At 53.3% G+C, this 24,760-nt stretch overlaps 1 protein-coding gene across 13 annotated transcripts in view, besides 1 other annotated feature; it reads left to right on the top strand.

Annotated features, from left to right (window-relative positions):
• The window catches only part of PTPRN2 (protein tyrosine phosphatase receptor type N2), a 1,048,768-nt gene that overhangs the window by 205,563 nt on the left and 818,445 nt on the right, over positions 1-24,760 (top strand). The gene's annotated exons all lie outside the window — the stretch shown is intronic.
• Positions 6,854-8,053: an enhancer, noted in NCBI's record as "P300/CBP strongly-dependent group 1 enhancer chr7:158166900-158168099 (GRCh37/hg19 assembly coordinates)". NCBI's record gives its function as "activates an origin of replication core promoter dependent on BRD2, BRD4, P300/CBP, MED14 and CDK7 cofactors, with strong dependence on P300/CBP, by STARR-seq in HCT116 cells {active_cell/tissue: HCT116}" and the evidence as "EXISTENCE:reporter gene assay evidence [ECO:0000049][PMID:35650434]".

Below are 24,760 nucleotides of genomic sequence, written 5' to 3'. Positions count from 1 at the left end.
CCTGGCCTCCTCCACATCCTGACCCCCGGGGCTGTTCACGGAGGGGAGTTGGAGTCATGAGGCTGTGCTGAGCTGCGTTGCCCAGGTGCCTGCACATGTATGCCCACCAGGGTGGACCTGTAGTGGGTCCTGCCCACCATTTCTCTCCTGGCTGTGGCTCTCAGGGTGCTCTGGTGAGACAATGTAACTGGCACCTGCCTTAGGGCTAGTGATATGGTTTGGCTGTGTCTGTACCCAAATCCCATCTTAAATTGTAGCTCCCACAATTCCCATGTATTGTGGGAGAGACCCAGTGGGAGGCACTTGAATCATGGGAGTGGGTCTTTCTCGTGCTGTTCTCATGGTAGTGAATAAGTCTTACAAGATCTGATGGTTCTATAAGGGGGAGTTTCTCTGCACAAACTCTCTCTTACCTGCTGCCATGTAAGACATCCCTTGGTCTTTCACCATGATTGTGAGGCCTCCCCAGCCATGTGGAACTGTGAGTCAATTAAATCACTTTCCTGTATAAATTACCCAGTCTCGGGTATGTCTTTATCAACAGCATGAAAACAGACTAATACAGTAAATTGGTACCGGTAGAGTGGGGCACTGCTGTAGATAACCAAAAATGTGGAAGCAACTTTGGACCTGGGTAACAGGCAGGGGTTGGAACAGTTTGGAGGGCTCAGCAGAAGACAGGAAAATGTGGGAAAGTTTGGCACTTCCTAGAGGCTTGTTGAATGGCTTTGCCTAAAATGCTGACAGCAATATGGACAATAAAGTCCAGGCTGAGGTGGTCTCAGATGGAAATGAGGAACTTGTTGGGAACCAGAGCAAAAGTGACTCTTGTTATGTTTTAGCAAATAGACTGGCAGCATTTTGCCCCTGTCCTAGACATTTGTGGAACTTTGAACTTGAGCAAGATGATTTAGGGTATGTGGCGGAAGAAATTTCTAAGCAGCAAAGCATTCAAAAGGTGACTTGGGTGCTTGGTTTTGTAGGGGAAGCAGAGCATAAAAGTTCAGAAAATTTGCAGCCTGACAGTGTGATAGAAAATAAAATCCCAATTTCTGACTAGAAATTCAAGCCAGCTGTGGAAATTTGCCTAAGTAACAAGGAGCCAAATGTGAATCCCTGAGACAATAGGGAAAATGTCTCCAGGGCATGTCAGAGGTCTTCACAGCAGCCCCTCCCATCACAGGCCCTGAGGCCCAGGAGGAAAAAGTGGTTTTGTGGGTTGGGCCCAGGGTCCCCATGCTGTGTGCAGCCTAGGGACTTGATGCCCTGCGTCCCAGCTGCTCCAGTTGTGGCTGAAATGAGTCAATGTGGAGCTCAGGCTGTGGCTTCAGAGGGGGGCAAGCCCCAAGCCTTGGCAGCTTCCACATAGTGTTGAGCCTGCAGGTGCACAGAAGTCAAGTACTGGGGTTTGGGAACCTCTGCATAGATTTCAGAAGATGTATGGAAATGCCTGGATGCCCAGGCAGAAGTTGGCTCCAGGGGTGGGGCCCTCATGGAGAACCTCTGCTAGGGCAGTGCAGAAGGGAAATGTGGAGTTGGAACCTGCACACAGAGTCCCTACTGGGGCACTGTCTAGTGGAGCTGTGAGAAGAGGGCCACGGTCCTCCAGACCCCAAAATGGTAGATCTACCAACAACTGGCACTGTGTGCCTGGAAAAGTCTCAGACACTCAATGCCAGCCCGTGAAGGCAGCTGGGAGGGAGGCTTTACTCTGCAAAGCCACAGGGGCAGAGTTGCCCAAGACCATGAGAACCCACCTCTTGCATCACCATGACCCAGATGTTTGACATGGAGTCAAAGGAGATCATTTTGGAGCTTTAAGATTTGACTGCCCTGCTAGATTTCAGACTTGCGTGGGGCCTGTAGCCTCTTTGTTTTGGCCAAGTTCTCCCATTTGGAATGGCTGTATTTAACAAATACCTATGCCTCCATTATGTCTAGGAAACAAGTAACTTGTTTTTGATTTTACAGGCTCATAGGTGGAAGGGACTTGCCTTGTCTCAGATGAGACATTGGACTGTGGGCTTTTGAGTTAATGCTGAAATGAGTTAAGACTTTGGGGGGCTGTTGGGAAGATATGATTGGTTTTAAAATGTGAGGACGTGAGATTTGGGAGAGGCCAGGGGCATAATGATATGGTTTGGCTGTGTCCCCACTGAAATCTGATCTTGAATTGCAGCTCCCATAATTCCCATATGTTGTGGGAGGGACCCGTTGGAAGGTAATCGAATCATAGGGGTGGGTCTTTCCCTTGCTGTTCTCCTGATAGTGACTAAACCTCACAAGATCTGATGGTTTTATAAGGGGGAGTTTCCCCATACAAGCTCTCTTTGCCTGCTGTCATCCATGTGAGATGTGACTTTGCTCCTCTTTGCCTTCCACCATGATTGTGAGGCCCCCCCAGCCATGTGGAATTGTGAGTCCATTAAACCTCTTTCCTGCATAAATTACCCAGTCTCAGGTATGTCTTTATTAGCAGCATGAAAAAGGACTAATACAGCTAGGGGGTCCCCATCCACCTGAACCCCCATGAACCTCTTGTGGGTCTACTGACTTTGGCCTTCTTGGAGTCTTTCTGTTTCATCTGTGCTGTTTCTTAGGAACCCCGCCCCACCTGTGGGCTGTGCTGTGAGTTTGAATGTGGAGTCTTCTCCATCTTTGTCTGTGCTATTTCTTAGGAACCCTGCTCCACCCGTGAGGTGTGAGTTTGAGTTCGGAGTTGTTTTTGTCTTTCGTCTGTACCATTTCTTGGGAGCCCCCCACCTGTGGGCTGTGAGTGTGAGTTTGGCTGCAGTTTCTGAGGATGCAGCTTTTCCTTCCTGTGTAATTAGTGTGGCTCTTTGTCCCACCCTTCCTTCCCTCCCCTCCTCTGTTCCTGTCTTTGCTTTCATCAAACATTTACTGAACAGACACCATCTATGAAGGTGGGTCTTGGCTGCCACTGCTGCAGAGGCGTGTTGCACAGCAGAACCGTATTCCCTACCCCGGTCCTCCTGCCAACCCCAGTCACCCCCACCCTGGGGTCCGCAGCCCCTTCTGCAGGCTGCTGGAGGGAGCATCCTACGTGTGGACACCTGACCTTGCTGTTCTCTGCTCTAGGGGGCAGCCTATGAGCCTTCCCCACTCTGGGGGCTCTCCCACCCCTTCCATGCACACAGGGCCAGGCCTGGCAGGTGCAGCCCCTGTCCTAACCCAGCACTTCTCACCCCGCACCCTGCCTCACCCTGCAGGGAGCTCTTCCCCTCCACAGCTCTGAGAGACAGGAGTGCGTGCAGATGCACTGTCAATAAATACTTATTAATAACAAATTCACAGATGACAGGACTGGGAGCGGGGTCTTCTCCCCATCCCATTAAAGTCCCCTTGATCGTAACAGCCAACCAGCCTTTTCTGGTAAGAATTTTGTCAAGTATTTTATATATAATATCTCAGCTATTACTAATACCAGTGCTGCATGGAAGGAATTATCATTATCTTCAATGTATTGATTAAAACACCTCTTTGACAAATGTGCCTGCCTGAGCCTATAACCAGAAAGCAACTGAGTTGGATGTTGACCCTGGACCCTGGACCCTGGACCCTGGAGTGTGCTGGACTCCAAAGCCCAGGAGTTTTGCACACTTTCTTTGGAAACGTGGTGATATCAAGGCAGAGAACCAAGAGTGGGGTTTTCAGCATAACTGGATGAAGACTGGGCAGCTTGACTCAGGGCATTCGCAATAGAGGGGGCCTGTGGGGAGCAGCTCACTGTGGGGAGAGGACAGGGGGCTGAAGTCATCCTCGGATGCAGGCGTGTGGTCACCATGAGTCACTGGGACCTGCGGTTCCCCCTTCAGAACCATTGCTGTGTTTCTGTGGAAAAGGAGCTTAAGTCCCTAGTGGGTCCAGGGCCCTCCTGCACCAAGAAGGAGGTGCCTGGGGAAGCCTCTGGGCAGCAGGCGGGGCTTGCAGGCCCCTTTAGGAAAACTCATGCCCTGGGGAGCGAATGTCAAGAGCTGAGGGGACAGCCTCCAACCATTATGTAAAAAAGCCATTGTCAAGGTCAAGGGTTGTCCTGAGGCCAATAGCTTTTATTTGCTTTTGTGTCAGGTTTGTTCAGGTTTGTATAATCATATGATTTGTATGCAGTAAAATGCGGTTTCTAAGTGCACAGCTGGAGGAGTCAGGAGGAGGTGTATAGTCCCGGAGCCAGGTCCAGGACCTGCCGTGTCACACCTGGAAAACCCACAGCTGGCATCAGGACTGGCTGTGTTACACCCAGAAAACCCGGAGCTAGCGCCAGGACTGGCTGTGTCACATCTGGACCACACAGAGCTCTTCCTTGCCCTCATGGATCTGGTTCTGTGCTGTGCTTGCTGTGTCTGTGTTGTAGCCACGGGCCCTGTGCTGTGTGGACTGTGGGGGAGGCTTCTGCCTGCACCCTGCCCTTGAGCACCCTCCGTGCAGGGCCGTACCAGCAGCCCGTCCCTTGGTATTACCAGGTAGTGTCCCTGGAATGGGTGTAAGAAAGTCAGCTCTCCAGCTGCGGACATTTGGATTGTTCCACTTTTCAGCTGTCGTGCGTAAAGCTGTGATAAACCACCGATGCCGGTTTCCTGTGAACTCCATTTTCATTCCTCTTGGGTCCATGACAAAGCCTGTGATTGCTGAGTCCCGGGAAAATTGTGTGTGCATTTCCACCCCCAAGCCGAGCCAGCCAGTTGCCTGCCTCCTCCCTAGCACTCTGCATTGCTGGGGTTTCCTCCCCAGCCTGTGGGTTCGTGGTGGTGTCCAAGTGGGGTCCCCTTTTCTTATGCGTGATGATGCTGGCTGTCTCTTCCTGCACTTACTGGCCATCCCTTGCTCTTCTTTGGTGAAGACCGATACATTTTACATTTAACTATTTTTCCATAACACATGGAGATTTTATTAACACACACGCACCTAATTGCTACCAGATTCATGATGAAACAGGAGCATCCCCTGACCCCGCGTGCTTGATGTGTGACAGGGCTGTGGGGGAGTCCCCTGACCCCCCTCTCAGGACGTGTGACAGGGCTGTGGGGGAGTCCCCTGACCCCCCTCTCAGGACGTGTGACAGGGCTGTGGGGGAGTCCCCTGACCCCCCTCTCAGGACGTGTGACAGGGCTGTGGGGGAGTCCCCTGACCCCCCTCTCAGGACGTGTGACAGGGCTGTGGGGGAGTCCCCTGACCCCCCTCTCAGGACGTGTGACAGGGCTGTGGGGGAGTCCCCTGACCCCCGTCTCAGGACATGTGACAGGGCTGTGGGAGAGTCCCCTGACCCCGCGTGCAGGACGTGTGACAGGGCTGTGGGGGAGTCCCCTGACCCCGCGTGCAGGACGTGTGACAGGGCTGTGGGGGAGTCCCCTGACCCCCCTCTCAGGACGTGTGACAGGGCTGTGGGAGAGTCCCCTGACCCCGCGTGCAGGATGTGTGACAGGGATGTGGGAGAGTCCCCTGACCCCCCTCTCAGGACGTGTGACAGGGCTGTAGGGGAGTCCCCTGACCCCCCTCTCAGGACGTGTGACAGGGCTGTGGGAGAGTCCCCTGACCCCGCGTGCAGGACGTGTGACAGGGCTGTGGGGGAGTCCCCTGACCCCGCATGCAGGACGTGTGACAGGGCTGTGGGGGAGTCCCCTGACCCCCCTCTCAGGACGTGTGACAGGGCTGTGGGAGAGTCCCCTGACCCCGCGTGCAGGATGTGTGACAGGGATGTGGGAGAGTCCCCTGACCCCCCTCTCAGGACGTGTGACAGGGCTGTAGGGGAGTCCACTGACCCCCCTCTCAGGACGTGTGACAGGGATGTGGGAGAGTCCCCTGAACCCCTCCCTCAGGACGTATGACAGGGCCATGGGGGAGTCCCCTGACCCCCCCTCGCAGGACGTGTGACAGGACTGTGGGAGAGTCCCCTAACCCCACGTGCAGGACGTGTGACAGGGCCGTGGGGGAGTCCCCTGACCCCCCTCTCAGGACGTGTGACAGGGCTGTGGGGGAGTCCCCTGACCCTGCATGCAGGACGTGTGACGGGTGTGGCTCATCTGTTTGGCTGCTGCGTGCTCAAAGAGCCTTAGGGAAGGGAGAGCACACAGATAGGCAGGTGCAGGAGCCGGGGTGAGTGCTTTTGGGCTCTGGCCCTGCAGTAGCATCCAGGGGTGGGGTGTCTGTGACTCCCAAAGCCGCGGTGGGTGTGCTACAGTGCTCTTTTAGCAGTTGCCACCCACAGATGGCTTAAGTATTAACCAGCTCAGTGCCCTGTTGATACCCAGGTTCTTATCTGGCGTCCAGGAAGAATCAGGTCACAGGGACAAATTGAAGGATGGCAAATGTGGGGGATTTTACTGCTGGATGGAGGTGGCTCTCAGTGGGATGGATGGGGAGCTGGAGAGGGGATGGAGTGGGAAGGGATCTTCCCCTGGAGTTTGGCCGTCCCGCAGCCAATCTCCTTTCTGACTGTCCCCAGCCGAACTCCTCTTGACATTCACACGCTCCTTCTCTTCTCTCCTTCCCTGACACGCCACTCTTCTGTTCCTCCGCTCTTCCACTAGTGGAGCCTGGGGCTTGGCATTTACATGGGTACAGGATAGGCAGGCATGGGAGGCCAAAAGGCAACATTTGGGCACAAAAACAGGAATGCCTGTTCCCATTGAGGGCCACAGGTTTCCAGGCTTGAGGGCGGGGCCTTTGCCGGGGAACTACCCTCTTCTACCCAGAATTTTTCTGCCACCTGCCCATATCAGTGATGCTTTTCTCAGGGAAAACTGTAGTTGCAATGGATTTAATGTTCAGCTGTGCTGTCCCACCACATCCCCGAGATGGCTGGGTTTGGCCACACCAGGAGCTTGAGCCTGGCTGCCTTGCATGCTCTCCTAAAATGTCTGCCCCAAGACACAGCTGCCTTGTCTGCTGCCCTCATTGTGCCTGGACTATGCCTGTGTCCTGGGTACTCTGTAAACATTTGCTGAATGAGGGACTAAATGAGCAGTGAATCACATGACAAGCCCTCTGCTGATGCCCTGTGGGCACTTGCCTGGTATAATTCTGGTGAGTTGGGAGCTGTGGGGAGGCCCAGTGCTGCCAGGTTTAGGCACCTTTCTGACTTCATGCTCTGGCCGGCCACTGCCTCTCATATTTAGGGTCTCACTGCCACGTGAAGCAGCTGAGAGCTGGTTTCCCCCATGAAATACGTCTGCTGCTGAGCCTCGGGGATGTGGAGTTTCTCATCTATCTTTTCCTCTGCGCCTCAGGCCACCATGCTCTGTGTTTTTAAGCAGGAAGGGATTTTAGCCCCACCCTTTATTATTTTCTGTTACATTTTCCCAGTTAAATGTTACATATAGTAGAAATCTGTAGACTTGAAGTATTCAATTCTGTGAGTTTTGGCAAATGCACCCAGCATGCAGCCCCTGCCTGTGCTGTGACTTAGAACATTTACATCACCCAGAAAGTTCCCATGAAACCACATCCCCGCCCCGGAAATGACTTCTCCCATTCCTTTGCACGATATGCTTGGTTTCTCCAGGTCTAAAGCTTGCTGTTCTGGATTTCCGCAGGGCATTCTTTAATTTCTGCCTCCAGCCTCCATCTGTCCACTTGCTGTGTGTGGACGGTTTGTCTCTGTTTTGAGGGGAGTTCCATTGAGTGGATGCGCCATGTTTCAAACCCACTTTCCTGTTGACGGGCTTTGTTCTTTCTTTTTTTCTTTCTTCAGTTTTTGGCGCCTATGAATAAAGTCTCTCTAAACATTCTTGTACAATCCTTTTTACAGATCGTGTTTTGTTTCTCTCGGGCTAGTGTCCAGGAGTGGAGTTTCTGCGCTGTTGATATTGAGGTGTGTGTCTATGAGGAGCTGCAGGGTCTGGTTTCACAGGAGCGAGTGAGTGTGTGGGTGGCTCTGCAGCCTTTTGCCAGTGTGTTCTTGGCCTGCAGCATTGGCCTTTTGAGTTGGTGTTTGTGGAGAGTTCCATTTCCAGTGGTCTGTCCTGGAGGTGGCTCCCTCCTCCTGACAAGGGAGCTTTGTGATTGGATTTTTGGTGTTTGAGACCCAGCTCTTCCCCTTCACTGCTGCTTGGACCCAGAGCAAACCCCTCAGCTCTAGATTCTGTTTCCTCTGTTTGCGGTGGGGATGGTAAGTGCACTTGCCCCAAGGGTCAGAAGGGCCACTGCGAGGGTCAGAAGGGCCCGCTGCCTGAGCCCTGACTCCAGTGCCGGGCGCGTGGGCGTCGTGTTGCCACCGTGGGAACAGTCATCACACTCTGCCCGTTTCCCTCAGGGCCCAGCCCAGCACCCACAGCGTCTCATCTTCTCATCTGTGCATTTGAGAGTTATCCATGCACCAGGTAGGCAGAGACAGAATGCTGGGCTTGGCAAAGGCTGAGACGCAGAGAGACGGGAGGGCCCTCCCCACACTCCCATCCAGAGAGGGCGCCCAGATGCTGCCGGATGAGAGCGTCTCCCTTTCCTGGCCTGCAGGCTGGCTGCTACTCTGCAGGTGCATGGGCTGAAACAGTTGCTATTTATTTGAATATTTCCAATCCTGCTCCTTCTTCAACTTTCATCCGGTGGGAACTGGCCGCACTGCAGTGTAATTCTTCATTTCAAAGATGGATGAATCACATTAATTGCACAGAAAACCATCTCCAAACCTAAAACAACCAAATGTGGGTGCCAGGAGAGACTTCGTTTGCTTCAGTGGCAGCTGGTCTGTTTTTCCTCTGAAGAGATTAAGCAAAGGAACCCTTAGTAACTGTGTGTGATACAAAGATGGTCTGTCAGCCTTTGGGAATACTAGTTTACTAAAAAGAAATATTTCTTTCTTTCAATCAACAGAACTGTACTTGCTGAAGATAAACGTGCTTAAGAACATGCAGCTAACGCTATGAAATTAGCGTTACTCACACTCAGTTGGAATAGAAGTGCCTTCAACCTTTTAGCAAAGGCAAGAGCAAATTATAGCAAAAAACTCATTTCAGAAGTCATCTTTGTGCAGAATAGGCCGGGCCCCGAGGTCAAGGCATCCATTTGGCACTCTATTTCCATAATGCGATTCCGCAGCGTACGGGCGTCAGAGGAAAGCACATCTGCTGTCATATTAGTCTTATAAATGCCGATGTTAACGCTCCTTTACAGACAAAGCCATCTTGGGGGTGTGGCCACAGGAGTTTCCTCTGCCTGGAAGTCCTTGATTTAAGAGGCCGCTGGGTGGAACCTTCGGCCGTGCTGCCCTGTGCAGCGCATCCTCTGGCAGCCTCCCTGTAGTGGCCCTGCTCAGTGTTACCTTCGGTGTTCTAGAGTGGCCAGGTGGCCCCAGATTGCAGGAGGGATGCCCGGAAGCTGTCAGGTCGGGGAGTCTTAGCAGCCCTATGTGGCTGCTTGGACCCTGGGTGCTGAATCACAGCCTGGAGAACTCTGCCTGTCAGGACTATGCATGCCTTTTGATTTGTTTGCTTAATATATATATTTTTTCCTGCACTTAAAGATAATGCAAGCTGTATAAAAAACAGAAATAAAAACCAAAAGGGAGATGCCCATGAAGCTGAATCAGAGGGTGACTAGATGCTGGGGCTGTCTTGGGGCACTCTGGGGATCAGCGTGGTGGAGATCAGCTCCGGGAACCAGCGTGGTGGGGACCAGCTCCGGGGACCAGCGTGGTGGGGACCAGCTCTAGGGACCAGTGTTGGGGGGACCAGCTCCAGGGACCAGCACAGGGGAGACCAGCTCTGGGGACCAGCATGGGGGGACCAGCTCCGGGTACCAGCTCATGGGAGACCAGCTCTGGGGACCAGCATTGGGGGGATCAGCTCCAGGGACCAGCATTGGGGGGACCAGCTTCGGGGACCAGTGTTGGGGGGACCAGCTCTGGGGACCAGCATTGGGGAGGCCAGCTCTGGGGTCCAGCCTGGGGGTGTCCAGCTCCAGGGACCAGCGTTGGGGGGACCAGCTCCGGGGACCAGCGTTGGGGGGACCAGCTCCGGGGACCAGCGTTGGGGGGATCAGCTCTGGGGACCAGCACTGGGGAGGCCAGCTCCGGGGTCCAGCCTGGGGGTGTCCAGCTCCGGGGACCAGCGTTGGGGGTCCAGCTCTGGGGACCAGCACGGGGTGGGCAGGTGAGACTCCACGGGGACCTCTTAGAGCTGCTGGGGCTCGGGGCAAGCCTCCCTCTGTGCCTGCAGTGCTCAGCCAGAGGTGCTCATCCCCGGAAGGTGTGGCCCTGCGAGGGGGTCTTCCGCACACAGCCAGCGCCCAGGAGGGCTGATGGCAGAGGGTGTCTGTGGCGTGACTCACAGAACCTCATCCCCGGGGCCACGACGGACGCTGAGTGCGCTACGTCCAGCTGTGTGAGGTTCATCTCTCCCTTTTAGAAAATTACATCCATGGGTTTATATTCCTTTTCTCAATAAGTACTATATCTTGAGCATGTCACGTTATCTGTTTTATAAATATGATCTTTAATGTGGTGTAATTTAATTATTCACCTACGGTTGGAAATTCCTTTGTTTCTCAATGTCTGATTCTTAGTAAGCACATCTTTGAAAACGAACGGTTTTCCGCATATGAATCATTTCCTTAGAACATTCCCCTAGAAGTGAAATTCCTAGGTCACTTGGTGTGTGCATTTTTGAGAGTTGCTGAATTTTCCTTCCGAGAACTTGCATAAAGTTCCTCTCTCAAGCGTGAGGTGCTTGTTGCGTCACAAGGTCATCAATGTGGATGTTTATTAGTGAAGAATTTTAATTGTGTAGGAAAATATGCCTCCTCGTTTTGGTTTTCATTTCTTATGCTAAGTTTATGTTTTCTTTTATGAATTTTATTGGTAAAATTGTTACAAATGTTAATCAAATAAAACATAAGGATATATTTTATTCTCATGTATTTAAAAATAGAAGGTTAAATCTTCATGAAGTGAAATTAATCTTTTTTTTTTTTGCTTTCCTTTGCTTGTTTAGGAAGTCTCTCTTATTATAGGATCTGATAACTATTCACCTAATTTTTTCCTTCCTTTTTTTCACCTAAATTTTTCCTACCAAAAAAAGGTTTTACTTGAATCCATCTAAGCCATTGGAGATCCATGTTGCTGTCAGGGTCACTTGGCCGTGTTATCCTTGTCCACACTGTGGGCCCGTGTTTCTTCCCTGCGCAGTCACATACCTGGTCAAGTTTGTTCCTAGGTATCTGAAAATTTTTCGTTATGACCGAGTGAGATTATTTTTTCTCATATTTCCCAAATGACAATTGCTGCTACATTTTTTACTTTTTTTCTTATAATGGGCTGCTCTACCAAAACTCTTTCATTGTGATAGTTCGTTTGATTCTTTAGAATTCAAAAACAGTTGTGTGTAAGGGTGTTTTAAAAATTGTTAATTTTGTGTGGTATTTAGTAAACTCTGAATCTTCAGATGAGCATCTTTGGAAGTGGAAGTTTTTTTGTATTCCACTTTTGCATGTTGCTTTCTTTCATTTATTCTGGTTCTCCCAGCCTTTATTGATTGATTGATTTTTAAAAATTTTTTTGAGACAGGAGTCTCGCTCTGTCACCCAGGCTGGAGTGCAGTGGTGCAATCTTGGTTCACTGCAAGCTCCGCCTCCTGGGTTTATGGCATTCTCCTGCTTCAGCCTCCTGAGTAGCTGGGACTACAGGTGCCCACCACCACGCCCAGCTAATTTATTGTATTTTTAGTAGAGACGGGGTTTCACCGTGTTGGCCAGGATGGTCTCAGTCTCCTGACCTCGTGATCCACCCGCCTCGGCCTCCCAAAGTGCTGGGATTACAGGCGTGAGCCACTGCGCCCAGCCCTCCCAGCCTTTATTTATTTTTTCTTTTTATTTTTGAGATGGAGTCTCGCTCTGTCACCCAGGCTGGAGTGCAGTGGTACAATCTCGGCTCACTGCAACCTCTGCCTCCCAGGTTCAAGCAATTCTCCTGCCTCAGCCTCTCGAGTAACTGGGACTACAGGTGTGTCACCATACCTAGCTAATTTTTGTATTTTTAATAGAGATGGGGTTTTGCCGTGTCGGCCAGGCTGCTCTCAAACTCCTGACCTCAGGTGATCGGTGTGCCTCGGCCTCCCTAAGTGTTGAGATTACAGGCATGAGCCACTGCGCTGGCCTCTCCCAGCCTTTAAAAGGCAGTTGTCCTTATGCCAAATCCCCAGTCAGTCACCGCCGTGCACCAGTTTCTCCTGCAGTGTTGATCACCTCGTTCCCATCGTCTGTAGCTAAGCTCCTGTTCACGGTGGCTTTCGTGTGACTGAGGTGACTTCCCGGGACAGTTCTGCCCTCGGTGTTTCTGACTGGGCCTCCTGCCCGCTGAGACCACACTGTCCTCTTCACAGACTTCCTTCTCAGTCTGTCTGCCGCCCAGTCAGGTCGGGGACTTCTGGAGTGCTGTTATCTTGCTTTTTATGGTTGTCATTTTCTTAAATTTGAGAACACAAATCAGATGCTTTTTAGAATTTACATGGGTTTCCAACTGTAATTTTTAAAACCTATTTATTTTCCTGTACCTTCAATGTAGGTTTGCCTTTTCCGTGCTACAGAATCATTTTGTGGCTCTCACATGGTTTTTCTGTTTCAGTGTTCCAGTTTCTCTGTGTATGTTTGTAACTATGTTTTCACGTTTTTATCCTTATAACGGGAAATGTGTAATCAGGGCTGATATTTACCAATAAACAGATTGGTGAATGAGCAGATTCCCCTTGGCCCTTTTACTTTCTCTACTGGACAGTGGGAGGCGTTTCCTCTCGGTTCAGGCAGATGCCATGTGTGGCCTCAAGTCAGCCTGGTGCTGATAGCATCTGCCCAGTGGCCCCAGGTTGGGGGGGTCCTGTTCTGACCCCCGGCACCCTCACCATGTGTTGAGTGATTCACTTTTGGACACTCTGTGTATTAGTCAGGGTTCTCTAGAGGGGCAGATATATATATATCATATTAGTTACATATACGTGTATGTATATAACTTTATAGGTATATATATGTGTGTGTGTGTGTGTGTGTGTATGTGTGTATATATATATAAAGGGGAGTTTACTAAGTATTAACTCACATGATCACAAGGTCCCACAATAGGCTGTCTGCAAGGAGAGCCAGTCCAGGTCCCAAGGCTGAAGAACTTGGAGTCCAATGTTCAAGGGCAAGAAGCATCCAGCATGGGAGAAAGATGTAGGCTGGGAGGCTAGGCCAGTCTAGTCTTGTCACGATATTCTGCCTGCTTTATATTCTGGCCATGCCAGCGACTGATTAGATGGTGCCCACCCAGACTGAGGGTGGGTCTGCCCCTCCCAGTCCACTGACCCAAATGTGAATCTCCTTCGGCAACGCCCTCACAGACACACCCAGGATCAATACTTTCCATCCTTCAATCCAATCAAGTTGACACTCAGTGTTAACCATCACACTCTGGTTCCTCTGGACCCCACACAATTCCTGCCTCTTCACCTCTGTCTGGCAGAGCTCTCGTCCTAAAATTACAGTTTCTGTGTGGCCACAGCAAGGAGGAAGACTTGGGGGGTCGAGGATGGTGGGGCCCAGCTGGGCCTTGGGTCTCTGAGGGACCTGCAGGGGAGGGGGCTGAGTGCTGTCCTTCCTCCCTGGGGAGCCCCCCAGCTGCTCTGTGCCTTGGTCCTTGGACGTCCCTGTGCAGCAAAGCAGTGGCCTCCTGGCTTCCACACCTGTCATTTCTCATTTACTGTGCGGGCGGGCCGGGCCAGGAACTAACAGTTTCATATGAACTTCACCTAAAAGTCCACACTGAGCTTTTCAAAGTGTGGCTGTCGGCTTCCATCATGTATGGAAACCCTACTTCATCTACCTGGTCATCACTGTGATCAGTGCTAGCCCAGCCAGTGATGCTGGTAGGAATACCATTTTTTCTTTTTCAAGAAAGTTTGTAATGAAAGCTTTAGGTAGTCGCTAAGAAAAGTCAAGATTTGCTTCTCTGAAGTCAACACAAGCGGGGGCCTCCCAGGGAAGCTGTGGCAGCTGTTACAGGGTCCCGCTTCTCTCCTGGTAGGGATGTTCCAGTTGGGTTCAGCCTGCTGCCGAATATCCTGGGAGGCCGGTGCAGGAGGCTCTAGAATCAACCTGTACTGTAAACGTTTGCCCTGTTGAAGTTATGGAATTACAGGACAAATTCTCTGACTTAGATATGCAGTGGTGTGGACAGTAAAGCCTCATCAATAAGGTTTGTATTAAAATGCTCGGTGACTTCTGGTGCTGGTCAAATATTGTTCTTTCCTCAGCTCAATTTAAAGGTTTTCCTCCTCTGGGAAACTTGCAGAAGGGAAAGTCAAACTCAGGAATTTGGTGTCTTGAAACAGGAACATGGCCCTAAGTTATGGTGGGAGCAGATGAGCCATTCCCAAATGCTGCTGCCATGGTTGAAATTTGTAAACCGTCTGGAGAAACGGTCCATATAATTGAATCTTTTGAAAATGAACTCATTATGGAGAGAGTTGCATTTTAGAGGGGAATGACTGAGCATCTGATGGGCTCTGGGCCAAGGAGGTCAAACGACTTTTCCTTCATTCTGATAGCCATGGATGGGTTCAAGAGCTTATTTTTTACTCTCTGGAAAAAAACTAACATTAATAGAGCTTATCCCAGACTTCTTGGGGCTATTTCCAAAGGACAGAATGCTGAGGCTCACTTACAACGTAATTTCGTCATCCTTCGCCCGCGGAGAGCTAACCCATGGTGAATTAAGCAGGTGACTGACGTGCTCCCCAGGAGCCAGCCTGACTCCAGCACAGTGTGAGTGCCACCGCCCAGCCTCCCAGTTGGTGCCTCCATCCTGTGAACCACTGCGTCCTCCTGCCCATGATGGCCGTGGCCTTTCCCTTTCCCACCAGTGAGGATATCTGAGTACCACAGAGCTCAGGTGAGGGAAGTCAGCAGTTGTCTAGCATAGCTTCCGTATTTTACAGGTGAGAACACAGGACTTGGAGAATCGGGGGCTCATGGCCACATGGGGAGTGAATGCCTGTGTGTGGACCAGAGGCCTGGCCGTCCACCTGGGGCATCTGTGCCCCCGCCATACTTCCCAATTCAGCTGCCGTAGCAGCAGGAGCATGCTTGTGCCTGGGCCAGATGCTTCCGAGCACTGGGGGCTGGTTGACCGAGGAGAAGTCAGCTCTGTGGGTGTCCCTGCAGCCTGGGGCACGAGTCCTGAGCTTGTCTCTCATTCCAGGTGCTGTTGCCTTTCCTGGCAACTTATCTAGGACTTTTCTGATGCAGAGGTCACTGTTTCTCCCCTGAACCCCTAAGCTATGCTTTTCCAGTCCTGGGTGCACGGGAGCGGCACTGCCCAGCACAGACAGGGTTATGTAGCAGAAACACTCCCTGGAATTGGCAAAGGCACCGCTTTGCTGTTTTAAATCCTATTTGCTTTCCTTGTGACGTCTTCGGTCATTTTCATGGTTTATTTCCATTCACAATACCCCTGGAAACAGAAACCAGCTAAACGACTGCAGCTTTGGATCTCTGGTAACCAGAAGCAAAGACAAAAATTCAGGAATGAGAACCCTGGCCGTCAATGGCGACTGATTTCAGAAATTGAAAATGTCCTTAGGACAAGTCCCAGCAAATGTGGCAGAAGAACCACCCATGGTCCGCAGCACCACGTCCTTCCAGCCGTGTATGTCTCGGTGGATGGAGGGGCTGCCGGGGCTCTGCGTTCGGGGAAACAAGGCGCTGTGGGCTTGTTCCCGGGTTGCCATGGCGATTCCTCATTATCTCCAGTCACAGAGCCGTGTGCAGGGTATTGGCAGCTTACACATGTGCTGCAGCTTCTCCCAGGGATGCTGTGGGTGTGTGGGTGTGTGTGCGTGTGCACGCGTGCATTGGGCTGTGGCTTCTCCCAGGGATGCTGTGGGTGTGTGGGTGTGTGTGCGTTTGCACGCGTGCATTGGGCTGTGGCTTCTCCCGGGGATGCTGTGGGTGTGTGTGTGCATTTGCACACGTGCATTGGGCTGCAGCTTCTCCCAGGGATGCTGTGGGTGTGTGGGTGTGTGTGCATGTGCACGCGTGCATTGGGCTGCAGCTTCTAGGGATGCTGTGTGTGTGTGTGCATTTGCACACGTGCATTGGGCTGCAGCTTCTCCCAGGGATGCTGTGGGTGTGTGGGTGTGTGTGCATGTGCACGCGTGCATTGGGCTGCAGCTTCTAGGGATGCTGTGTGTGTGTGCGTGTGTGTGTGCACGCGTGCATTGGGCTGCAGCTTCTAGGGATGCTGTGTGTGTGTGTATTTGCACACGTGCATTGGGCTGCAGCTTCTCCCAGGGATGCTGTGGGTGTGTGTGCATGTGTGCATGTGCATGTGTGCATTGGGCTGTGGCTTCTCCCAGGGATGCAGTGTGTGTGTGTGTGTGCACGCGTGCATTGGGCTGCGGCTTCTCCCAGGGATGCTGTGTGTGTGTGGGTGTGTGTGTGTGCACGCATGCACTGGTCTGCGGCTTCTCCCAGGGATGCTGTGTGTGTGTGGGTGTGTGTGTGTGTATGCACGTGTGCACTGGGCTTCGGCTTCTCCCAGGGATGCTGTGTGTGTGTGGGTGTGTGTGCGTGTGCATGTGTGCATTGGGCTGCGGCTTCTCCCAGGGATGCTGTGTGTGTGCGTGTGCATTGGGCTGCGGCTTCTCCCAGGGATGCTGTGGGTGTGTGTGCGTGTGCATGCATGCATGGGAGCAGACTCCACGCATGCCAGTTCTAACGGGCTTCAACAACACCTGAGCTCTGCTGGAGCACGTGCTGTTTCCAATGGGAGCGAACGTGTTTCCTGTCACTCCAGCTGATTGATCTGAATATCAGGGAATCGATGTCATGTGATTTCTTTTGTAGGAAGAGAGGGAGGAGAGACAAAGGGAAGAGAAGGGGAAGGGAGGGGTGAGGAAGGGAAGACAGATGGGAAAAATCACACCCTCGTTGGTTGTGAGGAGCACAAAAATTGCCGTTGTCAGAAGTGCCGATGAGGTCTGCCTCCAGCCCCGCTGGCCTCCGGAGCCCTGAGAAATTCCCACGGACCGTCCAACGCGATGGAGACTTTGTGCGGTGACTGTGGCTCACGTGAGGCGCTCGCAAGGACGGTTTCCCACTTGCGTGATTCCTTGTCCTGAGTTATGGGAAACGCTTTCGAGTCTGGGGTTTTTTCAGATTGTGTCTGAAGAGTGAAGGCTATTTATTAAAATAGTGTGGAGTAAACCACCCAATTTGACCATGACTTTAGGGTGAGAACGTGTGTGTCTGTATGAATGTATGTATGTGTTGTGTGTGCACATGCGTGTGTGTGTGTGAATGTGTGTGTTGTGGGTGCACACGCATATGTGCAAGGGTGGTTGTGTGTAGTGAACCTGTTGCTGTTAGCTGCCTGCTCAGGTGTGACCATTCTCATGCCGTTCCGTTATTTCTTTTTTGGTAGAAGTCAAGTGCCTATGACTTTCCAGGCCACAGTCCTTGGCAGGGTGTGTATTTAGAGGTAAACATGCCTGGAGACCTGTGTGTGTGGACAGAGAGAGGGGAGGAGCCCCGGCTATAGACGATGCCCCACAAACACATCCGAGGCTTGGATGACGACTTCCCAGCTGTGTGATCAAAACTCCCGGGATCTGGGGCTGGGACGGAGAATTATGCATGGAGATCCTCACTCTCAGCGTGTCAGCGTGAAGTCTGATGTTTAATTGAACATCTGTCTGCCTTTAATATGAACCTCATTATTAAGCTTACATGTGACTGTCTCTTTGCTTGTATTCTCAGATCTTAGGAGATCTTTAAAAAATTGATTTATAAACCAGAAAAAGAGACATTCTTGGTCACACTTACCTGAATACGAAGTGAGGATGGGGGCTCTGCATACCCTGCTGTGGGAAGCATGGCGAGAGGCAGGTGAAGTGAGGATGGGGGCTCTGCATACCCTGCTGGGGGAAGCATGGCGAGAGGCAGGTGAAGTGAGGATGGGGGCTCTGCAGACCCTGCTGTGGGAAGCATGGCGAGAGGCAGGTGAAGTGAGGATGGGGGCTCTGCAGACCTTGCTGGGGGAAGCATGGCGAGAGGCAGGTGAAGTGAGGATGGGGGTTCTGCAGACCCTGCTGTGGGAAGCATGGCGAGAGGCAGATGAAGTGAGGATGGGGGCTCTGCAGACCCTGCTGGGGGAAGCATGGTGAGAGGCAGGGTTTTTGGTCTTAAGGAATTGATTTGGTTCCCAAAGCCCCATTGGCTAGAAGGTCACTGACTGCCTCATCGTTCGCCTTTCAAAGAGAAGAATGAAACAGCGTCCGGCAGGAGGCGATGTCTGGGGAAGCGTGTGTGTGTCTCCCCATGTGCATGTGTGTCTGTGCATGTGTGTGTGTGGTTGTCTGCCAGCCTGAAGTCCCCTTTTCTGTCATATTCTAGTCCACTGTGATCAACACCAGAGACTCCTCCATCCACTCTCTCCATCGGCCACCTCCTCTCCCTGACCTGCCAGAGGCATCCGTGGAGACCCAGACACTGGGGTTCCTGAGCTGCAGGCCAGCCGCTTCCCAGGCCCGTGCCCCGCCCCCTCCCGACCTCTCCTGGCTCTCTCACCTCAGAGCTCTGGGGGCCGAGCGCCCTGGGACACCCTAAGTGTCTCACCTCGGAGTTCTGGCACCCTGCCTGTCTCACTGTATCAGCATGCGCGGTTCTCTCCTAGGCAGGCACGATTTTATGTTTGTCTGGGAAATGTGACGATCAAGACTGGGTGAGGCCCTTCCAGGTCAGGTGGTCAGGAAAGCGCTCACCAGGAATTGTGTGCAGGCTTCGACGGGGCTGCAGGACCTCTCTGGTCAGAGAATGAATTCAGAGCTGTGGGCTGAGTTTCACTTGTATGTTTTGTTTTTTCCGAAATTGGGCTCGCAGTGGTTCCAGCGTGGGTGTGACTTAGTTCCAGAGGCTCTGGAGGAGGCGGCCTCCCCAAGCAACCGAGCATCCTCCCATAGCTTCTCAGGGCCTCTGCGAGCACCTGAGCGTCCTCCCATAGCCTCTCATGGCCTCCCAAGCATCCTCCTGTAGCCTCTCGTGGCCTCCCGAGCGTCCTCCCGTAGCCTCTCCTGGCCTCCCTAGTGTCCTCCCCTTGCCTCTCTGGTGGAGGCTCAGCGAAGGCTGGCGAGCTGCTGTCCATGGTGCTGGCCATCTGGCCCCAGGGAAAGGGCTTTCGAGAGTGGTGCTCCACGGGTCCTGTCCCCCTCGGCTCATGACGCGCGGTGCATAATCCTGCGGAGACAGCTGGGGCCGCCTCTGTTCCATGGATCATGGGGACCAGGGCCACCTACAACATGGTGGCCTGAATTGCGATTGTGTCTCCAGTGGCGTCGTTTTGAGACTTCTCTTTAATTCTGACTCTTAATTCTGACTCAAGGTCCCCAGAGGGACGGTGACTGAGCCAGTCCCATCTGGGGCTTTGGGGCTACTGCCCCTGGGATGTTTGGGCCCCAGAAGTGAACACTAACCCTTGGAAATCTGCAGGGCTTTCAGACCCCTGCCTTCCTTCTCCACTACCTCTCATCTGGACTCGAGTTCCCTGATTCTCTGCATTTTCACCAGGATGAGCGTGGTTGTGATGGACAAACCTGACTTACGGTTTTATACGCACATCCAGTTATCTCCTTAGAATATATCTTTAGCAGAGAAACTGGGGCTCCTGGGGCTTGGCCATTTTAAAACTTCAGTCAAGTTGCAAATTTGTCCCTTGCAGAGGGGACACCTAATTTGTGCCCAACAAAATGTAGATGAGTCCATGTCATTCACCAGCAACCTGAGTTATCCCACAAAGTCCTTTGCCTTTCTGAGGTCTGATGGGCAGAATTGTCACATTGCCTTAATTAGGCCATCTTTAATTACAAATAAAGTCAAATTTTTCTTCTCTGTGAGTAAATGAGTTGTGGACATTTTTTTCTTCCTGTGCTTTGGGGCCAGGGTGGCCTGAGGAAAGTGCCGGGCACAGGGGCTCTGTCCCTTCATCCTCTTGCCACACAGGACAGTGCTGGCCTTGGGAGACACCAGGCTGAGGCCGGGCGGGCAGGGGCGGCCTCTTCTGCCTCCTCCTCTGGACAGCCCAGAGCTGAGTTAGGAGAGCTGGGGCGATGGAGGTCCAGGAAAGGTGGTGCCTGCTGGTGCAGCTGTGGCTTCTCTGCATTTCTAGTCTGGGCTGGGCTGTTTGTTAATGGAAAAGAGGCCCAGGCTGGGAGGTTGATGGTAGCACAGGTGCAGGGACGGGATGAGTGACAGACAGACGGAGGAAAGATGGAACCCACGATGGGGAAGGGGCTGGGATTCAGGGCCAAGAAACGAAGGGAGGAGAGAAGCGGGGATGAGCTCCATAGGCAGGGTCCAGGCTCAGCGGGAAGAGCTGGGAAGAGGGGGATGAGGGAGAGGCAGGGCTCAGGCAGAGACACAGTGAGGACTGGGCAGTGCCAGCTCAGGTTCTCAGGAGGGCCTGCCCCAGCCAGACCATCTGTGGTGAAGGTGAGCCCACACCTGGCTCCAGGCACTGACCTTCCTGGGGCCCTTGTTGGTATCTGTGTTGGGGGAACACAGATCCATGCCTGCCTAGGATCCCCCAGGAGGGTCCGGGAGTGCCCCCAAGGTCCATGGTGGGCATCTGCTAACAGCCTGTCCTGAGGGCAGGGCTGGCTCCGGGGCTCCAGATCGTCTGTGGCTCAGCTCTCTCTGGAGGGCTGTTTGGGTCTCAGGTCTGAATATTGGAGCCCAGGGCTTCAGTGGAACTGGGCAGTGGGGATTTCTGCCAGGTGTGGATGGCCTGAGCAGCAAGAAAGAGCAAAAGAGGTTTTCACAGCGTCCTTCTCCAGCCAGCTGTGATGGGGTCTGGGCAAGGATGGATGAAGAGTCTGTGGGTTGTCCTGGGGAGGGGTGGACATGGCGTCTGTGGGTCATCCTGGGGGAGGGTGGACGTAGGGTTTGTGAGTCGTCCCAGGTGAGGGTGGACACGGGGTCTGTGGGTTGCCAGGGTGTGGGGTCTGCGCATCATCCTTGGTGAGGGTGGATGCAGGGTCTGTGGGTCACCCCAGGTGAGGGTGGACGCGGGGTCTGTGGGTTGCCAGGGTGTGGGGTCTGCGCATCATCCTGGGTGAGGGTGGATGCAGGGTCTGTGGGTCACCCCGGGTGAGGGTGGACGCGGGGTCTGTGCGTCATCCTGGGTGAGGGTGGATGTGGGGTCTGTGCGTCGTCCTGGGTGTGGGTGGATGTGGGGTCTGTGCGTCGTCCTGGGTGAGGGTGGATGTGGGGTCTGTGCATCGTCCTGGGTGAGGGTGGATGTGGGGTCTGTGCGTCGTCCTGGGTGAGGGTGGATGTGGGGTCTGTGCGTCGTCCTGGGTGAGGGTGGATGCAGGGTCTGTGGGTCACCCCGGGTGAGGGTGGACGCGGGGTCTGTGCGTCGTCCTGGGTGAGGGTGGATGTGGGGTCTGTGCGTCATCCTGGGTGAGGGTGGATGTGGGGTCTGTGCGTCGTCCTGGGTGAGGGTGGATGTGGGGTCTGTGCGTCATCCTGGGTGAGGGTGGATGTGGGGTCTGTGCGTCGTCCTGGGTGAGGGTGGATGTGGGGTCTGTGGGTCATCCTGGGTGTGGGTGGATGTGGGGTCTGTGCGTCATCCTGGGTGAGGGTGGATGTGGGGTCTGTGCGTCATCCTGGGTGTGGGTGGATGTGGGGTCTGTGCGTCGTCCTGGGTGAGGGTGGATGTGGGGTCTGTGCGTCATCCTGGGTGTGGGTGGATGTGGGGTCTGTGCGTCATCCTGGGTGAGGGTGGATGTGGGGTCTGTGCATCGTCCTGGGTGAGGGTGGATGTGGGGTCTGTGCGTCATCCTGGGTGAGGGTGGATGTGGGGTCTGTGCGTCATCCTGGGTGTGGGTGGATGTGGGGTCTGTGCGTCGTCCTGGGTGAGGGTGGATGTGGGGTCTGTGCGTCATCCTGGGTGAGGGTGGATGTGGGGTCTGTGCGTCATCCTGGGTGAGGGTGGATGTGGGGTCTGTGCGTCGTCCTGGGTGAGGGTGGATGTGGGGTCTGTGCGTCGTCCTGGGTGAGGGTGGATGTGGGGTCTGTGCGTCGTCCTGGGTGAGGGTGGATGTGGGGTCTGTGCGTCGTCCTGGGTGAGGGTGGATGTGGGGTCTGTGCGTCGTCCTGGGTGAGGGTGGATGTGGGGTCTGTGCGTCATCCTGGGTGAGGGTGGATGTGGGGTCTGTGCGTCGTCCTGGGTGTGGGTGGACTTGGGATCTGTGGGTTGTCTGGGTGAGGAAGGATGCAGCGTCCGTGTCCCCTTCACACGCTGCTCTTAAGGAGCGCTGTGAGATGTCCCACTGAGGGGCTTGTCTTCTCACTCTCCACAGCTGACATCTCCAGTGTTAGGTCTTGGGCACCAAGGAGGGGCCAAGCTAAGGTGCTGTATATTAAAAACTGTCAGAGGAAGAAGGCCATTCCATCAGGAATGCCTTCTTCAGGCATCTGGGCTCTCGCTTGGGCTGCCATTCTTAATCATGTTTTAATTTTCAAATAAATTGCTTTCATTATCCGTTCATCGACAACACCACGTGTACATTACTGCTCATTAATGTTTGTCAGCTACTGTGCTGAGGCTGGGTTTTTAAATAGCCATGGTCACGGTGCAGTAATTAATGATGACCCATGTTGGTTTTACAGAATTATTATTATGTTTAATCTTTGAAAAAACAACCTAGAGTGTCGCGGTGTTGCTGAAAGTTGTCCTCAGGCTGCAAATCTTTGAAGGCCGCAGGAGTCCTTGGGCAGGCCTTCGTGTTGACCTGGGAGCAGTCCTTTTATGGCTCCAGCTGGGTCCCCCCGGCTGGCCGAGCGGAGTGCCTGGGTGGCACTGAGGACCACCTTTCCTTTGTGACTGTGTGTTGGCCTCGCCAAATGACCTCTTGGCCAATGTGATACCAAATTAAGTTTCTTGAAAAAACATCCATTATTTAAAGCATTCATTTCGTGCTTGAGGTCTGATCCTGTTCAAATCAGAAGCCAAGACATTTTCAACGTTAGTGATGGTCGCCTCTGTAGACTTGTGTCTGGTTAAAGTTGTGAGTATTGATAGCGTCTTCCCACCTGTGCGTGAATCACTTTGGATTTCTGGGGTCTGAGCAGGGACTCGCCGGCCATGGCCTTGCTGATGGGGCCTCCCAGATGCTGCCTGCCTTCCTGTGGTTGGATTAGCTATGCTGGGGCCTTGAGGTCATGCTCATCATCAACCTCATAGTCCAGACTCCTTAGAGTGGGGATGGCGTCCCTCCCATCCAGTTTCTCATTTATTCAGTAAACCTTTTATCACTTCTTAAAGACTTTCAGTAACTTATACATAAGAATGACCATTTTAACCATTTAGGGATATAGTTCAGTGGTATAAAGGATATTCACACTGCTGTGTAGCCATCACCACCATCCACCTGCCAACTTTCTATTCCAAACAGAACCTCTGTGCGCATTAATGCTGACTCCCCCTCCCCAAGGCCCTGGCTGCACTCAGTGTACCTTCTGTGAACCTGACCATCTGGGGGCCACGTATCAGTGCAATCGGAGCATGTGCCCGGCTGCAGCCGAACGCTAAAGGCAGCACCGCGTGCTCAGGGCTGGTGCAGGTGTGGACTGTGTCAGCGTCTCCTTCCTTTCTGAGGCTGAGTCCCATTCTGTCGTGTAAATAGACCACGTTCTGTTTCTCCACCCCTCAGCTGCTGGGCGCCTGGGTTGTTTCTGTGTCTGGCTTCTGTGAATAACATGCTGTGTGCGTGGGGGTACATACACGTATTTCTTTGAGTCATTGCTTTCAAGTCTGGTAAATTTTCATGAAACCATTTCCGTCGGCCGAATATTGTGATAACTGGGCTTTCAGTGTGTCTCTGGAGGCCAGGAAGGGCAGAGCCGCCTGCAGCCCTCCTCCAGCCCATCCTTCTGAGAATGGCTGAGCTTCCAGGCCATGCTCCTGAAAAAGGTGAAGCTGAGGGCAGGAAAGAGGGCCCCCCATGGCTACCTCAGCCCACGCCCCTCCCACCAGTTTAAGACCAGGCCGGAAGAAAGGTGGGCGTAGGGCGTCTCAGGTCTCCCTGTGGTTGGTTTGGGGCAGCCTCCCGAGGCTTGCTGGGCACCCAGTCCCCGCCTGCAGGGGTGAGCCGGGCTGCTGTTCCCACTGTCCTGGGCTGAGTTCATGTATTCGAGTAACTCACAAAGTTGGGCCTTCCATTCTAAGGAGCCACCTTAAGCCTTGTGGGAGGGCCAGAGAGAGAAAAAGAGAGAGACAGAGACAGAAAGAGAGAAACAGAGACATGCACACACAAGGGGAGGGGAGGAGCCCCATGCACCCCTGATTGTAAGTGTGTCCCCTACTTTGCCCTTGGCTTGGCCGGGGCCCTCTAGTTGGTGGTGGGACGGTGAGCCAGAGTTGAGGGCTGGCGGCTGGGTTCTGAGAGCCGCCACTGTCCCAATGGGACACCCCTGCTGGACGCAATGCGCCTCCTGCCTTGTGAGCTTCCTGCCCTGGGACCAGGCCCTTCTTTCTCCCCGGAATGGTCCCTGGAACCTTACGGGACATAAGAGCTGGGTCCCGGTTGCTTGGCAGTGGCTGCTACAGGCTTGCTGATGGCTGACGGCTGCACAGATAAGCTGCCTTCCTCCTCTCCTGCCGCTTTTCTTAGCACCCGCAGCTGACGGTGCCTGTGTGACGCCCTCAGTGATTTGGGTGGGCCTGGGCTGCGCAGCAAATGCAGGTTGCCCAGCACCCTGAAGGCCAGTGTTGGGCCAG

This window comes from Homo sapiens, chromosome 7, assembly GCF_000001405.40.
Source record: "Homo sapiens chromosome 7, GRCh38.p14 Primary Assembly".
NCBI classification, from domain to species: domain Eukaryota; kingdom Metazoa; phylum Chordata; class Mammalia; order Primates; family Hominidae; genus Homo; species Homo sapiens.
This window is presented reverse-complemented; position numbering and strand designations above follow the sequence as displayed.